Source organism: Homo sapiens, chromosome 3 (genome assembly GCF_000001405.40).
Source record: "Homo sapiens chromosome 3, GRCh38.p14 Primary Assembly".
NCBI lineage: Eukaryota > Metazoa > Chordata > Mammalia > Primates > Hominidae > Homo > Homo sapiens.
The window spans coordinates 101,947,389-101,967,293 of record NC_000003.12 but is presented as its reverse complement, the minus strand read 5'-3'; the positions used below and the strand labels follow the sequence as shown (position 1 = coordinate 101,967,293).

At 39.1% G+C, this 19,905-nt stretch overlaps 1 long non-coding RNA gene across 1 annotated transcript in view, besides 1 other annotated feature; it reads right to left on the bottom strand.

The window, feature by feature from the left end:
- Positions 1–19,905, bottom strand: part of RDUR (RIG-I dependent antiviral response regulator RNA) — a 57,068-nt gene that overhangs the window by 30,633 nt on the left and 6,530 nt on the right. The window contains exon 2 of the long non-coding RNA NR_026934.1: positions 6,832–6,932. This is a non-coding gene — a long non-coding RNA (RIG-I dependent antiviral response regulator RNA). The remainder of the gene's footprint in view (positions 1–6,831; positions 6,933–19,905) is intronic.
- Positions 16,582–16,782: a silencer, noted in NCBI's record as "peak4754 fragment used in MPRA reporter construct". NCBI's record gives its function as "represses an SCP1 promoter by STARR-seq MPRAs in K562 erythroleukemia cells {active_cell/tissue: K562}" and the evidence as "EXISTENCE:reporter gene assay evidence [ECO:0000049][PMID:32103011]".

The window sequence follows — 19,905 nt, the reverse complement described above, 5'->3', positions numbered from 1 at the left end:
AAAAAAGGATGAGTTCATGTCCTTTGCAGAGACATGGATGAAGCTGGAAACCATCATTCTCAGCAAAATATCACAAGGACAGAAAACCAAACACCACGTTTTCACTCATAAGTGGGAGCTGAGCAATGAGAACACATGGACACAAGGAGGGGAACATCATACACCAGGGCCTGTCGTAGGGTGGGGGGCTGGGGGAGGGATAGCATTAGGAGAAATACCTAATGTAAATGACGAGTTGATGGGTGCAGCAAACCAACTTGGCACATGTATACCTATGTAACAAAGCTGCACATTGTGCACATGTACCCTAGAACCTAAAGTATAATAAAAAATAAAAATAAAAACAAATTACTCGGGCATGGTGGACGTGCCTGTAATCCCAGCTACCCAGGGGGCTAAGGCAGGAGAATCACTTGAACCCAGGAGGCAGAGGTTGCAGTAAGCCAAGATCACGCCACTGCACTCCAGCCTGGGCAACAGAGCAAGACTCCATCTCCAAAAAATAAAAAAGAAATAATCTGGAAGTGTGAGCTGTGTGCACCCATTTTAGAGTAAGAAAGCCATTCGACCTCTAGAAGTAAGGTAAAAGCCTAGAGATGAATCATAATTTAGTTTAGCTTAAACATTTGTAATGTAAGAAGTTTTATCTAACTCAAGTTTTTGAGTTCTTAAAGAGAGCCTGGAAGCCTAATACACTGTATATATATTTATTATATTTACTCTTTTAAACTATACTTACTCAGTGGTTTTTAGTATATTCAAAGAGTTGTGCAATCATTACTACTATCTAATTTCAGAACATTTTCATTACCCGAAAAAGAAACCCCACCCTCATTAAGTCACTTCCCTATTCTGGAAATTTCATATAAATGGAATCATACCATATTGGCTTTTTGTATCTGGCTTTTTTTCTAGGGTACTTTCTAGCTCTACAACTCTGGACAACAGGATCTAATAAAAAAGGAGAAGCCCATCTTGAAGACATCATTCTTCTTTTTCAGAAGTTCCTAAAAATACACTGTGAAATATTAAGAATGTAGAACTCATGGACTAAGATCTGGTCTAGGCTATAGACTCCCTAGCCCATTGGGAGGGATATTCCTCAAATTCCCCAGACTGATTACCATGTGGCCTAAGTCTGAAGATCACCCTAAAGACAGAGCATGGTATCATGGGAAATTCAAGAGCATCAGAGCTTCACAAACCCAAACCCTGGCACAGCCACTCACTAGCTTCAGGGTGACCTTGAGCAATCTTTTTTTTTTTTTTTCTAAGACAGGAAAAAGAATAATCTGAGGCAGAGGTGGGCAGATCACCTGAGGTCAGGAGTGTGAGACCAGCCCGGCCGACATGGCAAAACCCCATCTTTACTAAAAATACAAAAATTAAGCCAGGCGTGGTGTTGCACAGGCTGGAGTACAGTGGTGCAATCTCAATTCACTGCAACGTCCACCTCCCGGGTTCAAGCAATTCTCCTGCCTCAGCCTCTTGAGTAGCTGAGATTACAGGCATGCGCCACCATGCCTGGCTAATTTTTGTATTTTCAGTAGAGATGGGGTTTCACCATGTTGGCCAGGCTGGTCTTGAACTCCTGACCTCAGGTGATCCTCCCACCTCGGCCTCCCAAAGTGCTGGGATTACAGGTGTGAGCCACTGCGTCCGGACAACCTTGAGCAATCTATTTAACCTCTTTCATTTTTCACTTTCCTCTTCTGCAAAATGAGGATGACAGCAATACCTTCTTTGCTTGGTTGTTATGAAGACTGGAAAAAAAGATACACAAAGTACCTAATGCCTGGCAGAGACAGGGCCCTCAATAAATTATTATTATTATTATTATTATTATTACAATTACACAACTATTATTATTCTTCTTCTCTTAAGTGCTTTTACTTATCACCCATGACAAGTGAACAAAGAACTGTTCACCTGAACAAATAATTATGTTGGTCATGGTCTTTGCCTTCTCGGAAATGACAGACTATGGTAAATATAAAATATACCTCTTTTCGCAATCTAAGATTACCTGTCCCTGTTGTACTTTAATCTCACCACTTAATGTTGGAGAGGAATATAATGAAGAGTATGCTGTGTTCTTTGTGCACATGTTTAATCTACAATACTGGACTGGAAACTTGTGTCAGCTCAACTCTTCTACGAACAAGATGCCAAGACAAAATTAGTCATGCAGGAGATTTCTTGGGAGAAACGCCTGTGAAGGATTTGGGGAGGGGCAACCAGCATGGGCAGGGAGGGCCTTCAGAATAGGAGGGAAGGAGGAGGACTGGGTAGTAGGAGTCAGACGGCATTGCAGCACTGAGTCTGAGCCAGGCCGACCAGGAGGCCTCAAGCAAAGACTCCTCATTAGAGGAGTCCCATGCCAGCCAGAAATAGCCTGACCATGGTACCATACAACTACCACATTCAGTTACTAGCTAGAAGAATCCCCAGAAGTCTGTGACTTGTCAGCGTGAATGCAGGGGCAGAGCCAGAGGGGCCGCAGCTGGAAACTGTCAGCTAACTACCCTCCTCATGAGCTTCTCACGCAAGTGGATTTGAGCAGTGCACGCCCGCAGCCTCTAGAGAACTCCCTGAAGACAATAATTGTGTTGGTATTATTGCTTGTACCTAGTAAGTTCTCAACAATTGTTTGTCGAAAACTGAATACGTGATGGTTTTTAGCAACCAGCAGGAAGAACAACCCATTTGCTAAATCCAGGTGGATTAGGTCTCATAATTCCTGAAGAAAGAAAATGTCTTCCATCATTTGAAGTAAATGACAAGGCTCAGAAAATACTCCTGTGGCATAGCAGATCCCAGCCTCCAAACAATAAGTGGGTTGGGGGTGCTGAGGTGATGAGCTGACAGCAAAAGAAAGAAGTGTCAGGCAAAAGTGGCCTGAATTAAACCCACCATTGACTTCATTATGCACTTAATTTCACTTGTATAGACATAGCCACAGGATGAAGTAACCAACAGTGGGTATGGCCTCAAAGGTAAAAGCAAGGTGGTACAAAAACTGCTTCTGAAACAGATGACAGAGTGGAGAGAGCCTCAGGAGCTCGGGGTGGAGGGAAGATTTCAATCGTGGAGGTACACTTGCCCAAAGCAAGCACCCAGCAACTGGAAATCAGGTCACCGCAGCACTCACTGGAGGCTTGAAAAGGATAACTAACTCCAGTTTTCAAAGAATTAAAATAGCTATGGGTGAGGCAAGAGGAAGAAATGACTCACAAATCTGGAGGTAAAATGAGATCTCTGAGCTAATGATGACAAATAAAGGAGGGCAGAGAGAAGAAGCAGTGTTCTTGTCAAGTTCATTTCTCATTTTCATAATAGACAGCTATCTACTTCAATTAAAAATGATTTATTGAACACCTGCTATGCACAAAATGAAAGAAGCAAGGTTTCAAAAACATTCCCATGTCCAAGCAGCATGACTGAGCTCCTCCCAATGCCAGGTATATATGGTGGAGTCTGCAGAAATGAAGAAAATCATTCCCAGTGACTACCCTAAATCCCACCAAGGAGACAAATCCAAAAAACAATTAAAATACAATAACATAGTACATTGTGAATCATGCAGTGATAGAGGCAGGTCTAAGTGTTATGAAAACACTCTAAGTAGGGCAATCATTTAACTCATCATTAAACCAGAATGCTTTGAAAGTAGAAGGGGGCATTATCAATAATTATACTGTGACAATGGGCATAAACTGGGATTGTTCCTGGACAAACCAGGATGAATATCATCCTAGTTGTAAGGAAAAAAACTGGGGAGAGGCCAGGCATGGTAGCTAATGCCTGTAATCCCAGCACTTTAGAAGGCCAGGGTTGGGGGACTGCTTGAGCCCAGGAGTTTGAGACTAGCCTGGGCAACACGGTGAGACCCTGTCTCTATTATTTAAAAGAAATAATGTTTTTCTAAAGTGGGAAGAAAAGGATAAAGAGGAGAATTAAGGAGGAAGAAAACTGGAATTAAGAGGTCAAGTTGTTAAAGAGGAAAGGGATTAGATGGGCATGGCAGAGTAAGAAAAAGAAATAGCCCAAAGGAGTGACTAGAATTTGAAAGCTGAATCTCAAAAATAAAATCATTTGATTTTACTACTCTGAGGCTCAAGGTAGTTAAATGACAAAGCTGAGATTTGAACCCCTGCTTGTGAACTCCAAAGTCTGTATTATATAATTAGTAGCACAAGCACAATTAGTACTTAGAATGTCTAATTTCTAAGTCAGTGCTACTTTTACTGCACTCTACAGAGTAAGTGAGCTTGTACTGGGTTGAAGAGCATCCCCCAAAATTTATGTCCACATGGAACCTCAGAATGTGACCTTGTTTGGTAATAAGATCTTGAAGATGTAATCAAGTTAGGATGAGGTCATGCTGGATTAGGGTGGGCCCCAATCCAGTAACTGGTATTCTTATAAGAAGAAGAAAATGAGAACACAGACACACAATGAGAATGCCATGTGAGGAGACATAGAGACGCACAGGGAAGAATGCCCTATAAAGATGAGGGCAAAGATTGGAATAACATGTCTACAAGCCAAGATATGGCAAGGATTGCTGGCAACCACCAGAAGAAGCTAGGAAGATAGGAAGAGGCAAGAAAATATTCTGCCATTGAATCTTAGGAGGAAATATGGCCCTGCCACCTTTATTTCAGAATTCTAGCCTCCAGCTCTGTGAGACAATAAATTTCTGTTGTTTAAGACACCAAGCTTACGGTACTTCATTCCAGCAGCCCTAGTAAACTACCATAGAGCTAGAGAAAAAAAGAGCAGGAGACAGAGCAGGAAGGGTGAGACAGAAGGGAGGTTTTAGGGAGGCCAGGAGCAAAGAAAAAGGTGATGTCACCAAGACCCCAAAAACCAAAAACTGTTTCTTTGATTCCATGATGACACCTCCCCTTATCTCCAACCTTACCATTCTCACCACTACTCTCTCTTTTAAGGATCCCATAACATTGTTGGTCAGTTATACCCAAGTAAAAAGAAAACTGTAGTGAAAGCAAAGAAAGAGTTGACATGAGCTGCTGATAGGAATTAAACCCACACCACTGTGGATGTCAGCTATGAACAATGACTCACAGCTTTAACTAGGAAAGTTGATTTTGATAAATTGAGGATAGCTATGGTAATCTCTAATCACTAAAATAGTAAGACGGTGTGTAAGTATCAAGCTGATAGGAGGAGAAGTTGAATAATGAAAACATTAGATGAATATAAAACCAAAAGTTAAGAAAGAACAAAAGGGGAGCGAAGAAAACAAAGATTATCAGTGATTGCATCAAATAGAAATGAAATAAATGATTCAATTAAAAGAGAAATTATTGTATTATTAAAAAAAAAACAAAACATGCTATATACTTACTAGAGACATGTCTAAAATAAGAGGATATAGAAAGGTTGGAAATAAAAAGATAGAAAAAGATATGTCAAGCAAACACTAAAACATAAAACTATCTGTGATTCTCTCTGATACAGACCTCAGACAAATATTTAGGAACACATAGTGTATTCATTCATTTTCTGTTGCTTATAATGAAATACTTGAAACTTGATAATTTATCAAGAAAAGGAATTTATTTCTTGCAGTTCTTGAGACTGGGAAGCCCAAGGCCAAGGGGACATATCTGGTAAAAGCCTTCTTGTTGGTGAAGACTTTCTACACAATCCCAAGGTAGTGCAGAGCATCACACAGACAGGGGGCTGAGCATACTAAGATGCTAGCTCAGGTCTCTCTCTTATAAACCACAAGTTCCCCTCCAATGATAACCCATTAATCCATTAACTCATTAATTCATTAATCAATTAATCCATGAATGAATTAATCCATTCATGAGGGGAGAGTCCTCATGATCCAATCACATCTTAAAGGCTGCACCACTCAATATTCCTACATTAGGGATTAAATTGAGCATGAGTTTTGGAGGTGACAAATATTCAAACCATAGCACATAGTTCATTTGGAAAGTGATCACAAGAAGCTCTAATAGGAGAACTGGGAAGGGGAAAGGGTGATAAAAGGAAGAGAAAGAAGCCAATGCCAGGTATTAGTGAGCAGGTTACCACAAAGGACACCTGGGAGTCAGCCCTGCTGAGGACCTCTGAGAGATAATACAGAATATCCCTCACAGTGGTCCCACCCAATAGATGACGAAGCTGAGTTATTTATCCTCCAGTTTCCATCTGTCACTGGATGAGGACTGCTACTGGTGTTTCAACTTCCCAGAACCTTTAGCCTCCCTTCCCTGCACACGAACCAAGCTTACCAGAGAAAGCTCTCAAATGGAGTACTGGTGATGGCAGTAGGAAAACCATCAGTGTGCACAGCAATGGCAAGTGACAGGAAAATATGAGCAGAATATTAAGAGGGTCTGCTACATAGTTAAAATAGATTTTAAGGGGAAAATCATTACTAGTGGTAAAGAGGGATATTTTACTTTTTAATTTATATAAATGTATGGGGTGCAAGTGCAATTTTATTGCATGCAGAGATTGCATAATGGTCAAGTCAGAGCTTTTAGGGCATCCATCACTCAAATAATGTACTTTGTACCCATTAAGTAATTTCTCATCCTCCACCTCTCTGTCATTCCTTTGCTCTTCTTAGTCTCCATTGTCTATCTCCCATTTTGCAGGTTGTCTGTTCACTCTGTTTCTTATTTTCTTTGCTCTGCAGAAGAGTTTTAGTTTCATTAAGTCCCGTTTGTCTATTTTTGTTTACTGTGCTTTTGAAGTCTTAGTCAGAAATTCTTTTTCTAGGCCAATGTCCAGAACAGTTTTCCCTAGATTTTCTTCTAGTATTTTTACAGTTTCAAGTCTTACAGTTAAGTCTTTAATCTTGAATCGCTTTTGTGTATTGTGAGAAATAGGCATCCAGTTTCATTCTTCTGTCTGTGGCAATCAGATTTTCCCCATGCCATTTACTGAAAAGGGTGCAAGAGGGATACTTTAAAAACATAAAAGTTTCAGTCCATAGACATATATAACAAATATAATTCATATACCCTTAGTAACATAGCATCAAAATATATAAGGCAAAAAAATGACCAAACTAAAAGAGAAAATGGACAAATCCACCATCTTAGTAGAATCTTAGCAATATCTTACTAAAGATATTGAAGATCTGAACAGCACAACAAATAATTTGATTTAACTGACACACAGAGGACACCTAAGAACTTCAGAATACACATTCTTTTCAAGTATAAACAGATATTTACAAAAATTGAAAGCCATAAGCAAGTCTTACACATTTCTAAGTTTAATAGTATTCATAAAAATGTTTTCTAACCACAGTTCAAGTAAGGTAGAATTAATAACTAACAGATAAGTGAAAATCTCACCCACCTGGAAGTTTAAAATATACTTCAAAATAACCTACAGATTAGTGAAAAAAACATAATGGAAATTAGAAAGCATTTTGAACTAATGATAATGAAAATATGACACATTAAATTTATTATGTGTAATTAAAGTTGTGCTTAAAGAGAAATTTATAACCATAAATTAATATTAGAAAAGGATTCAGACTTGACTACTTGCCAGCTGTGTCATCTTGAGTAAAATCGTATCTTCTGCTGAACTTCGTTTCCTTACTAACACAGCAGAGGTGCCAATAACTACTTCAGAGAGATTTTTTTGTGAAGATAGGATGATTTCGAATGTAAAGCTTTTAACCCAGTAGAAGATCTATTAACCATTTGATAAATGTGACTATTCCCAGCCAGGGGTCCCTTCCAGGTTTAAGCAAGCTGTTGCATAGGAAGTCCAGAAGTTCCCAAGTTCTGCATTCAGTGACCTCTAGGATGAGAAAGTCAACACAATAAGCCTTCAGCCTCTGGATTTGAGCTCTTTACACTGTTGATTTGCAGATCAGGCTGTTGTGGGTATGCTGTGACATAGTGAAGAAACAGGGAAGAAAAGGAGGATGCCTCTCAGTAAGACCCGAGGCATTTCCGTCCACACCACTTAAACACACTCCATACCAGCACAAACACCAACATAAAGTAATAAGATTGTTTTGGTTACTTTGCAATGTTACTCTCCCCCCGACCTTCCCCATGTCCTTCCACACATTCCCTTAAGCTTTGAGGCCTTTTATAAGAATTTGGTGTCCTATGTTGCTTTCCTCTGCCCTCATTGTTCTATTGCTTTGTCCATCTTACTTGATTTTTTCTGATGAAAGAGTAGGGAGTTTAAAGGGCCCTCAAGGATAATTTATCCCACCCATTCCTTTGACTTTTGTGTTTTGTCTTGTTTGTTTTTGAGTCGGAGTCTTACTCTGTCACCCAGGCTGGAGTGCACTGGCATGATCATGGCTCACTGCAGCCTCAAACCCCTAGGCCCAAGCAATCCTCCTGCCTCAACTTCCCAAACAGCTGGGCTTACAGGTGTGAGCTACTGTGCCTGGCCCATTCCTTTGATTTTTATATATGTGGGAAATGAATATCAGAAAGGTCAACTTGGCTCAAAGTCTTTGACAGAATGTAGTCTAGAATCCAGTTCCAAGTTCATTACCATTTCCTCAACTGCATGTTGCCTCTCCAGTAGCTCTCTGGTCTCTGAATTATCTTCTACAGAGAATAGAATTCCTACTTAATAGACATCTTTGACCCATGGTGTATTAGATTCCTATGGCTGCTCTAACAAACTGCTAATAGATTGGTGGCTTAAAACAGCACAAATATATTTTCTTATAGTTCTGGAGTCCAGAACTCTAAAATCAGTTTCACTGGAGTGAAATTAAGATGTAGGTAGAGCTCCCTGAAGTCTCAAGGAAAGAATCCCTTGCATTGCCTTTTCCTGTTTCTAGTAGCCACCTGCATTCTTTGGCTCTGGCCCTTTCCTCCATCCTCAAAGCCAGCAGCATAGCATGTTCTCTCTGTGACTCTGTTTCCTTCTGCTTCTGTCACATGGCCTTCTGTCTTCTGTCTTCTGTATTAAATCTCTCTTCACTTCCTTCTCTTTATTTATTTTATTTTATTTTATTTTATTTTATTTTATTTTATTTTATTTTGAGACAGAGTCTCGCTGGCTGGAATACAGTGGCATGATCTCAGCTCACTGCAACCTCCACCTCCCGGGTTCAAGCAATTCTCCTGCCTCAGCCTCCCAAGTAGCTAAGATTACAGACACCCACCACCACACCAGGCTAATTTGTGTATTTTTAGTAGAGACGGGTTTTCATCATGTTGGCCAGACTGGTCTCGAACTCCTGACCTCAGGTGATCTGCCCACCTCAACCTCCCAAAATGCTGGGATTACAGGCATGAGCCACCACACCCAACCTCCACTTCCTTCTTATAAGGACACATGTAAGTGCATTTAATGTTCACTCATATAATCCAGGATAATCTCCCCATCTCAAGATTTTTGACTTAATCACATCTACAAAATCTCTCTTGCCATGTAGGTTAACAGTCACAGGTTCCAGGGATTAGGACCTGGATATCATGGGGAAGAGAGGGGAGAGGCCATTATTCAGCCTACTATACATGGTAACTGATTTAATGAAATGGATAGAAATGGCTTCCAAAATTATGACCTGCATAAAAGCACTCCAATACAAACTGAAAAGGTGGGGTTAAAGAAGTTGTCAGAGAAAACCTAATATCTGGAGTATAATGAAATGCTTAGAAAATATTTTTGATTTTGTTTGAATCCTAGCTCAACAAATCAACTATACAAATATATTTTTAAGACAAGCAGGGACATTTAAATGTAGACTGGATATACTAGAGGTTACCCAAGAATCACTGTTAATATTGTTAGATGTGATAACTATGGTTATGTAAGAAAATGTTTCTTTTTAAGAGGTGCATAATGAAGCATGTAGAGGTGTAATGACATGAGGTCATGAGAAAATTTGCTTTAAAATACTTCAGCAAAAAGTGAAATAAACCAGGCACAGAAAGACAAATACTATGTGATCTCATTTTTGTGTGGAATCTAACAAGTATTGAACTCATACAAGTAGAGAGTAGAATGGTGGTTACCAGAGAGTGGCTGGGAGAGGCAATAGGGAGCTGTTGATCAAAGGGTATAAAGTGTCAGACAGACAGGAGGAATAGGTTTTAAGATCTATTGCAGAGCAGGGTGACTATAGTCAACAATAATATGTATTTCAAAATAACAGAGTAAACTTCAAATGTCTCACCATAAAAAATGATACATAATTGAGGTGATGGATATGTTAATTTACTTGATTTAATCATTTCACATTTTATACATATATCAAAATACCACATTGTACCTCATAAATAGTTATAATTATGATTTGTCAATCAAAATAATATGAATAAAAAAGACCAGCAAAAATGTAGATTTAGTAATAAAGCAAGTATGGCAAAATATTACTAATTATTGAACATGGGTGACAGGAATCGCAAAGTTCCTTTCTCTGCTATTTTAATATTAAATTAAATATTTAATTATTTTAAATTATTGATTTTATTTTAATAATTTTTTATCTCTATTGTTCTGTACATTTGAAACTTTTCAAGGGAAAATTAAAAGTATTAAAGCCTCCATTTTAGAATATAAATTGCCTGTCCCAATCCCCAACACTCAGCATCTGACCAGTTGCTCTATAGGAAAGATAAATTGGAAGTTAGGAAACCTGCCTGCCAGAATCAAAGAGGAGTGATGAGCCTATGTGTTTAATGTCTGATGGGCTGAGTGCTTGGTAAACATTGCAAAAGAAATCTCAGGGTTTTGACAATAGATCCCCATAGGAACATGTTTGTATGTGAGTATTGATTACGTTTCTCTTTCTCAAACCCCTTTCTCCCTGTTTCTTTATGGGATTATAATATCCAACATAAGGCTCCTTTCCCCAGTGAGGTTGGAATATGAAGGGAATATGAAGGGAAATCAATATAATCCTGTCTTCTCACTGGCTTCCCAATCTATGACATATAATATCTGCACATCTTGACCAGACACACAAGACCCTTTGTGATCTGGACCCTCCCAAAGATGAAGATCGATTTGCTCCAAGAAGAAAATTAAGCTCCAGGAAATGGAAGATAAATACAAAGGAATGTGTGTTTAAACACCAGTCCAACGAAGAATTATATAACAAATAGGAATTTGGAGTCAGGCTTTGGATAATAGGATAGCAACTCTGTTTACAGTTCTTAACACTCCCAGAGCCACTTCAAGGAACTACCCAGAATTTAATTGCAAATTCATACTCTGAATTGAAAGATAATTGATTAGGTGATTGGCATGGCATTAAGATAGATAGACAGACAGACAGATAGATAATCTAGATATATAGGGAAACCTTCTTTTCTAAACCAAACATCATGGTCTCTTCTTTTACAACAGGACATAATATCTCAAGTGGTAAGTGCCATAGAAACTTCAGGACACATGGATGTCATCGCAAATATTTTCCTCTCATCAATGGAACAAAACTATACAAATAGATATTTTAGTATAAAGTAAGGGGCCTCCCAGATTGCAAAACTGATTTTCTTGCTTGCAAAAATTGCTTTACTTCTCACTCCCATTCACCATCAATCCATCACCTTACAACAAGCTTTTGCCTATTCTTAAAAGCATAATTGGATTTGGGAGATAAAAGTTTATGCAATAAATAAATATATATACAAGATCCTATGTACATCCAAATTGTTTATTTGGATTATCCAACTGTCACTTATTCCAAGTGCTTGGCTTATTCCCAGAACTCCTCTTTAGTTGGGCAAGCACTATGTCTTCCGTACTTGCACTTTATTTCTTCTTGCTCATAGTAAACTGATGTAAAGTTAAGATTTTATTAAGGTACTTGGATTGTTTTCCCTCTTCTCTGAACAACTATATATTCATTATCTACTACTTTCAACTAGAAATTATTATACATTGACCTCAATTATTCTCTATTTCCCTTGAGATTTTTCTCTTTTTTTAAATAATTTCAACTTTTATTTTAGATTCAGGGTGTACACGTGCATATTTGTTACCTGGGTATATTGTGTCATGCTGAGGTTTGGGGTACTATTGATTCAGTCACCCAAATACCAAGCACAATACTCAGTTTTTCAGCCCTTGCCCTCCTCCTTTACTCCCCCAAGACGTTTTTCAATTTTTTTTTTAAGACTAGTCAAGTGCAGCAGTGAGAAGCCAGGAAATAGCAGAACAAGGAGTTTGATCTGTAACTGACTGTGAACAGTGTAGATAACTTACTCCCTTTGGACCAGCTCCAAGACTTTTCTTTACAAAATAAACAAACAAAAAGTATGTTTCTGAAGGATGTTGAATTTGGCGATGATTTCTTGGATACTATACCAAAAATACAGACAACAAAAGAAGAAATAGATAAATTGGACTCCATCAAAATTAAAAACTTTCATGCATCAAGGCATACTATCAAGAGATTAAAAAGACAACCCACAGGATGGGAGAAAACATTCGTAAGTCATATATCTGACTACAGATTAATATCCAGAATATATAAAGAACTCCTACAACTCTGCAATGAAAATAAAAACAATCCAATTCAGGAAGGAACAAAGGATTTGAATAAACATTTCTCCAAAGAAGACACACAAATGGCCAACAAGCACATAAAAAGATGTCAATATCCGTAGTCATTAGGGAAATGCAAGTCAAAACCACAATGAGATATTACTTTACATCCATTAGGATGGTGATTTTTTATGGAAAATACTGCAAGAAGTGCGTTTACTAAAATACAAGCTGTGTTGGCAAGGATGTGTAGAAACTGGAACTCATGCGCGTCACTGGTGGGAAAGTAAAATGGCACAGCCACTATGGAAAATGTACGACGTTTCCTCAAAAAGTTAAAAATAAAATTACCATATGATCCAGCAATTCCACTTGCAGGTTTATGCCCAAAAAAATTGAAAGCAGGGACTCAGATACTTGTATACCCATATTCATAGCAGCACTATTCACAATAGACAAAAGTTAGAAAAAACCTAAGTGTCTATCATCAGATAAATGGATAAACAAATGTGGCAAACACATACAATAGTATACTAGCCTTAAAAAGGAAGGAAATTCTGGCCTGGTGCAGTGAAATCCCAGCAATTTGGGAGGCCGAGGCGGGCAGATCGCTTGAGCTCAGGAGTTCGAGCAGCCTGGGCAAGATGGTGAAACCCCATCTCTACCAAAAATACAAAAAATTAGCCAGGCATGGTGGCACATGCCTGTAGTCCCAGCTACTCAGGAGGCTGAGGTGGGAGGATCACCTGAGCTTGGGAAGTTGAGGCTGCAGTGAGCCAAGATCATGTCACTGCACTCCAGCCTGAGTGACAGAGTAAGACCCCATCTCAACAAAAAGGAAATTCTGATACATGCTGCAACATGGATAAACTTTAAAAACATTATGCTAAGTGAAATAAGCCATACACAAAGAAACAAATATTGTATTATTCCACTAATAAGAAATACCCAGAACAGGCAAATTCATGGAGACAGAAAGCGTTACCAGGTGCTAAGAGAAGAATGAAGACATTATGTAATGGGTACAGAGTTTCTGTTTGTGATAATAAAAAATTTCTGGAAATGGATAGTGATGGTTGCACAACACTGTAAATGTACTTAATGCCACTGAACTGTACAATTAAATCATTTAAATAATCATTTCTGTGTTATGTAAATTTTACCATGATTTAAAAAATAATTTTTAAAAGTATATTTCTTAAGGACTTGGCTAGCCAGCAACAACTCTAGTATTCTACACAAAGCCTAGGAATGACAGGCACACAGTGGGTATTTTAAATATATTTGCTCAATAATTGATCAGCTGGTATGTTTCTTGGTTGCCAGGATCATTATTTACATGAACAGGGAAGGGAATGGAAGACAAGCAAAGAAAAGAATATTAGTATCTACTATGTCCCAAACACTGTTAGAGGCTTAAGATACTCTAATTCACTTAATCCTTAAAGACATAAAATTCAAAAAGAACTTCACATCATGATCAGGACTTCAACTGGGTATCCTGCTTTGTTCACTTACTGTCAGTATTTTTACATGTCGTGTCATCTTCATGTTTATCAAGAAGTCAACATGTGATATGATTTTGAGTAGATGTGGGTCAGATAGATGTCAGGTAGCTTCTGTAGGGCAAGCTGAAGCCCGTTGGTGACTACAACCACCGGGTTGACCCTGAGGTCCCATGAGACAGCTCTACAACACTGGACTTGGGACTCTCTTCAAAGATGCCCTACTGGCGCTAGACAGGTGAGCAATGGGGGAGATTCCTCATCAGTGCAGCCCCAAGTACGTTTAATTGTTCACTTTTATAGTCAAGATTTCTCCCTGGCCTCCAGCCCTTCTTTTGGAGGTTGGGGTCTAGGGGGAAGAAGGAACAATGAGGACTTATCAAAGGTAGACGCTTGGTTGGGAAAAACTGCTGCTGAGCCTATATTTATATTAGATTTGGAAATATGAAAATAAATGCCCACATTTTTTGGGTTTTGTTTGTCTAGCATAATGGGAAAAACCCAAACTGCCTTTCGGCTGTTCTTCTGACTGTATGATTCCAGTTTCTGTGACTTTTACCTATAAGTCAACTTGAAATGAAAACAAAGGCATTGGAAAGAGGCCCAAAGGACTTGGGGTCAAATCCCAGCTCCACGACTTACCAGGTATATGATCTTAGCAAGTTATTTAAGGTTTTTTTTGTTGTTGTTATTGTTGTTGTTGTTTTGAGACACAGTCTCGCTCTGTCACCAGGCTGGAGTGCAGTGGCGCAATCTCTGCTCACTGCAACCTCTGACTCCCTGGTTCAAGCGATTCTCCTGCCTCAGCCTCTCGAGTAGCTGGGACTACAGGCATGCGCCACCATGACAAGCTAATTTTTGGACTTTCAGTAGAGATGGCGTTTCACCATGTTGGCCAGGATGGTCTTGATCTCCTGACCTTGTGATCCGCCTGCACTGGCCTCCCAAAGTGCTGGGATTACAGGCATAAGCCACCGCGCCTGGCCGTTATTTCATGCCTTTAGATACCAATTTTATCATCTATAAAATGGCAGCTTGCCATCATGTAGCGCCATGTAGCACAGTCCTAGAAGCAGCCTGCCTAGATACAAATCCTGGCTCTCCCACCTACCAGCTGTGAGATCTTGATCAACCTTCTTACTCTTTCTAGGCCTTAGTTTCCTAAGCTAAAAAATGAGGATAATAAAAATATTTAACTAATGTGTTTAATGAGGATTAAATGAGTTAATGCTTGTGAAGCCCTTAGAATGAAATCTGGTACCTAAGAGGAGCTGAATAAAAATTAACTTTTAATATTATCATATCAGTGTTTAACTTTCTCTTTTAAAAAAGATAGCCCCAGAGATTTAAAAACATTCGAGAAATATGACCTTCCATAAAGCTTGCTTCCAGTCCAGTGACTGCATGTTTTAAACACAAGCAATACACCACAGTTTTGCTTTAGATGGTTGGAGCTATATAATAGAAAATGTAAAAATTTACTGTAAATTCTTTAGTAGAAACTTTAAAGGAGGAATCATTTTCTATGGTGCTGATTATCCAGAAATCCTTGGAGCACTCCTGCTGCCAAATAGAACAAAAAATAAGCTTTGAAAACACACAGCTTAAATGCCTTAATTCTTTGGAAAGTTTCTCTTTATTTAATTCCCAAGCTCCAATAATAAAGAAATATTGCTTCAGGAAAGAATAGAGAAGCCACATGGTTATGATCTGTTGACATGTTTGTCATAGGATGCAATGTCTGAAATACAGCACTGCAGGTCTGACTGGTTCTATTGTCTGGAATTAAATGGCAAGGAATGGGAGCCAATGCCACAGGATATCAGGGATTGAGCAATGAAGGGAAGCTCTATCTTCAATCCTAGGTTTTTCTTCCTTTCTCCCTGCTCCACTCCCCTACCCCTGCCCCACTCCCCTACCCTGCCCCGCTCCCCTACCCCTGCCCTGCTCCTGCCCTGGTTTCCAAAACTACAATTTTAATAAAATCCCAGGTGAAATGAAAGAAAGAGCTAAAGTAGCATGTGGATTAGATAAGTTGGTCTTGGTTCTTGATATGTTCCTTCAGTTGACAAATTACAACAGCTGAATTGAGTCCACTAATAGATTCAGAGGTTTCTATGTGTGGCTTCAAAGAAAACATAATTGGTAAATCCACCAGTTTGGTCAGTTTGGTTAGGCTGCTTTGGGTACATATCTACCATAAGACATATGTACAAAGTCCAGAAATTACACTTAGGGAAAATCTCCCAAGATTACTACTTTATTGACAGATTATTATTGGATCCCCTGAGCATTAACTCAGAACTGTTTCCAACTTAAAATATTGAAGCCCCATCTTGAAATGATAAGTTCAGGTCTAAATTTAAAGGAATATGGGTTCAATCTCTCCATTCACCTCTGTGTTCTCACTTCAATTGGCACTTTCATTTACCCATGACGCATTCCACCCTCACCAGATCTTTTTCTTCAGCACAACTCAGACAAAACCACTTATTAACAGAGTAGAAGCAGTCAGAGCCAACAAGGCAGGAAGAAGTGGTTCAGGGCTAGGAGCAGATGATTCATCGACATAAGTGGACACACTTAAGTCCTTGTTAAATTTTCTCATGATTTCTCCCATGCAGAGTTACAAGGAACCAGTGAAAATACTTTTGTCAAACTGAAAATGTAAGTTACTGAGAAGGTCATTTGATCTTGTGGCTTATGAAAGGAAAGACTTGGGAGTGTGGAGGCACGTCAATGGTAGCTGACGCTACCATTGGCAAAATCAGCTCATCTCCAACTGACTCAGATTGGGCCAAGAAGATTTGACAATTGTATCATATAGGAATTTATAAAAAGTTGGTTAATGGGTTTAAAATGCTAAGTTGACTAAGGTGTCCTCAGACACACTGAGCCTTCCTGCAATGCCCTCTTAATATAAAGTTTTCCGGATACCCGCTCTGATTATCCCAGCTAAATTGCTTTCTAATCAGAACTCACAATACTTTATTAAAACAACTAATGTTTCTCTTATCTATTTATTTTCTAGTTATTTGTTTCTTTTCCTTGAGGGCAGGAGCCATATCTTACTTTTCTTTAATTTTTCATAGATTTTTATGTAGAGTAGGCACCCAAAATATTGAGTGAATGGCTTTAATTTTCCTGTCATGTCCTATTATATTGAAAGATCTCTAATCATTTTTAATGCTGAGGAAGTATTGGCAAGAATCCAAATTTCTCTTAAATTTTATTTTTAGTGCATTTGCATTCCCACTTACATTGTAATTAGGCTAATTATCAAAAGCTTGATTTCAACAGGGCAGGATGGCTCAGACCTGTAATCCTAACACTTTAGGAGGCTGAGGTAGGTGGATCACTTGAACCTAGGAGTTTGAGACCAGCCTGGGCAACATGGCAAAACACTGTCTCTACAAAAAGTACAAAAATTAGCCAGGCTTTATGGCACAGGCCTGTAGTCCCAGCTACTCCCGAGGCTGAGGTGGGAGGATCTGTTGAGTCCAGGAGGTTGAGGCTGCAGTGGGCCCTGGTGGCACCACTACACTCCAGCCTGGGTGACAGAGCAAGACTCTGTCTCAGGTTAAAAAAAAAAAATGATTTCCCAGAGTATACAACTGTCAAAAGGAGGAAGATAGACCAGAAGAATGCTGCATGAGTGGCAAGAATAAATAATTTTGGAATTAAAACTCTTCCCTAGCTATATTAGGTCATGTTCCCCAGAAAAGAGACTATGGTGGGGATTTGCATGAGGATTTTATTGGAGAGTGATCTCAGGAGTATCTGTAAGGGGCTGAAGAAAAAAAGGATTGAGCAGAAGGAGAGACTGAACCATTATGTAGAAACAACAGTGGTCTCAGCTGATGTCAGGGTGGGCTGGAATAGCCCTTCAGAGTTGTTCCAAATGGAGGCAAAGGAGCCTGGAACATTTTGCGTATCACATAGTCATGGGTGCAGGCTGCTTCTGAGCAAGGAGCATAGGTGTATTCATCTGTTTTCACACTGTTTATAAAGACATACCTGAGACTAGGCAATTTACAAAAGAAAGAGATTTAGTGGACTCACAGTTCCACGTGGCTGGGGAGGCCTCACAATCATGGCTGAAGGTGATACGCATGTCTCACATGGTGGCAGACAAGAGAAGAGTACTTGTGTAGGGAAACTCCCCTTTATAAAACCATCAGATCTCATGAGACTTATTCACTACCACGAGAATAGCACGGGAAAGACCTGCCCACACGATTCAATTACGTCCCACTGGGTCCCTCCCACAACAGGTGGGAATTGTGGGAGCTAAAATTCAAGATGAGATTTGGGTGTGGACACAGCTAAACCATACCAATAGTCTTGGGCAAGGAAGCTGAGGACAATCCCTAGAGTGGGACTTGGGTAAAAGCTATCGGCAACAGGTAACACTCTAAAGGTGCTGAAAGAATGAGTACCTCAGTATTGAAGTGGAGGACCTGGGTGGCACACCATAGTATCCCCTCCACAATCTAATCTAAAAAGTAAATAATCCACACATATGGCCAATGAAGTGAATATATATATAAATAAGTCAACAATGCTATTTAACCAAGAAAGTCAAGTCACTAAGTCTTGAATATTTTTTAAATTACTTGGGGAAGTTATTGGGAAAATTATGTATCTAAAATACAATTTCTATCATTTATTCTGCCTAGCTATATTGGATAAATCACTCAACATATTGATTTAAATAAAACTAAGAAGGCTTGGATCCATTGCTTTCCCCTAGGAGGCTGATAGAAACATACTCAGCCTCATGATAACACTAGCTGCCTCTCTAGTATTGCTAATACTAGAATGAGGTAAAATAGTGCTACAGTTAACAGTATTATAGTTAACAGGTCCTAGCTGTGCCTGACACACACTAAATTCCCTTTAATGACAGTATGGAATTTTAACATTAATATAAAGACCCAGTAACACTGATTGGTTTACAGCCGTTCTTAAGTACAAACGCCTATACCTCAAAAAATGCCATTATCTGGGCCTGATATGGAGTTACTACTTACACAAAAGATTTCACATATTTATCCCATGAAGAATGAGTTTGTTTGAATGCACTGATGAGAAACTAGTGGGACTTCCCAAAATTAGATACCCAAACATGCTTGAATGAGTTCAAGTTCGTGTAGCAACCATGATTCTAAAAGTCAGAGTGGCCCACCATAAGAACTGTTAGCATAAGTCCCAAGATGATAAAAATAATGGTTCTATAATATGAAGACTATCTTACAAATGGAAATACTATTAGTCGGAAGTTAGGCAGAAGTAATACCACGGAGGCGCTATATGCTGCTATAAAGACACATGCACACGTATGTTTATTGCGGCATTATTCACAATAGCAAAGACTTGCAACCAACCCAAATGTCCAACAATGATAGACTGGATTAAGAAAATGTGGCACATATACACCATGGAATACTATGCAGCCATAAAAAATGATGAGTTCATGTCCTTTGTAGGGACATGGATGAAACTGGAAATCATCATTCTCAGTAAACTATCGCAAGAACAAAAAACCAAACACCGCATATTCTCACTCATAGGTGGGAATTGAACAATGAGATCACATGGACACAGGAAGGGGAATATCACACTCTGGGAACTGTTGTGGGGTTGGGGGAGGGATAGCATCGGGAGATACACCTAATGCTAGATGACGAGTTAGTGGGTGCAGCGCACCAGCATGGCACATGTATACATATGTAACTAACCTGCACAATGTGCACATGTACCCTAAAACTTAAAGTATAATAAAAAAAAAAAAAGTAGTTAACAGGAACCCTTAAGTCAGACTCTCCAGAAAAAAAAAAAAAAACCCCACTACCACATTTTTGCTATGTACACTCTTAGGACAAGTCAATTAACTTTCCTGAGCCTCAGTTTTCTC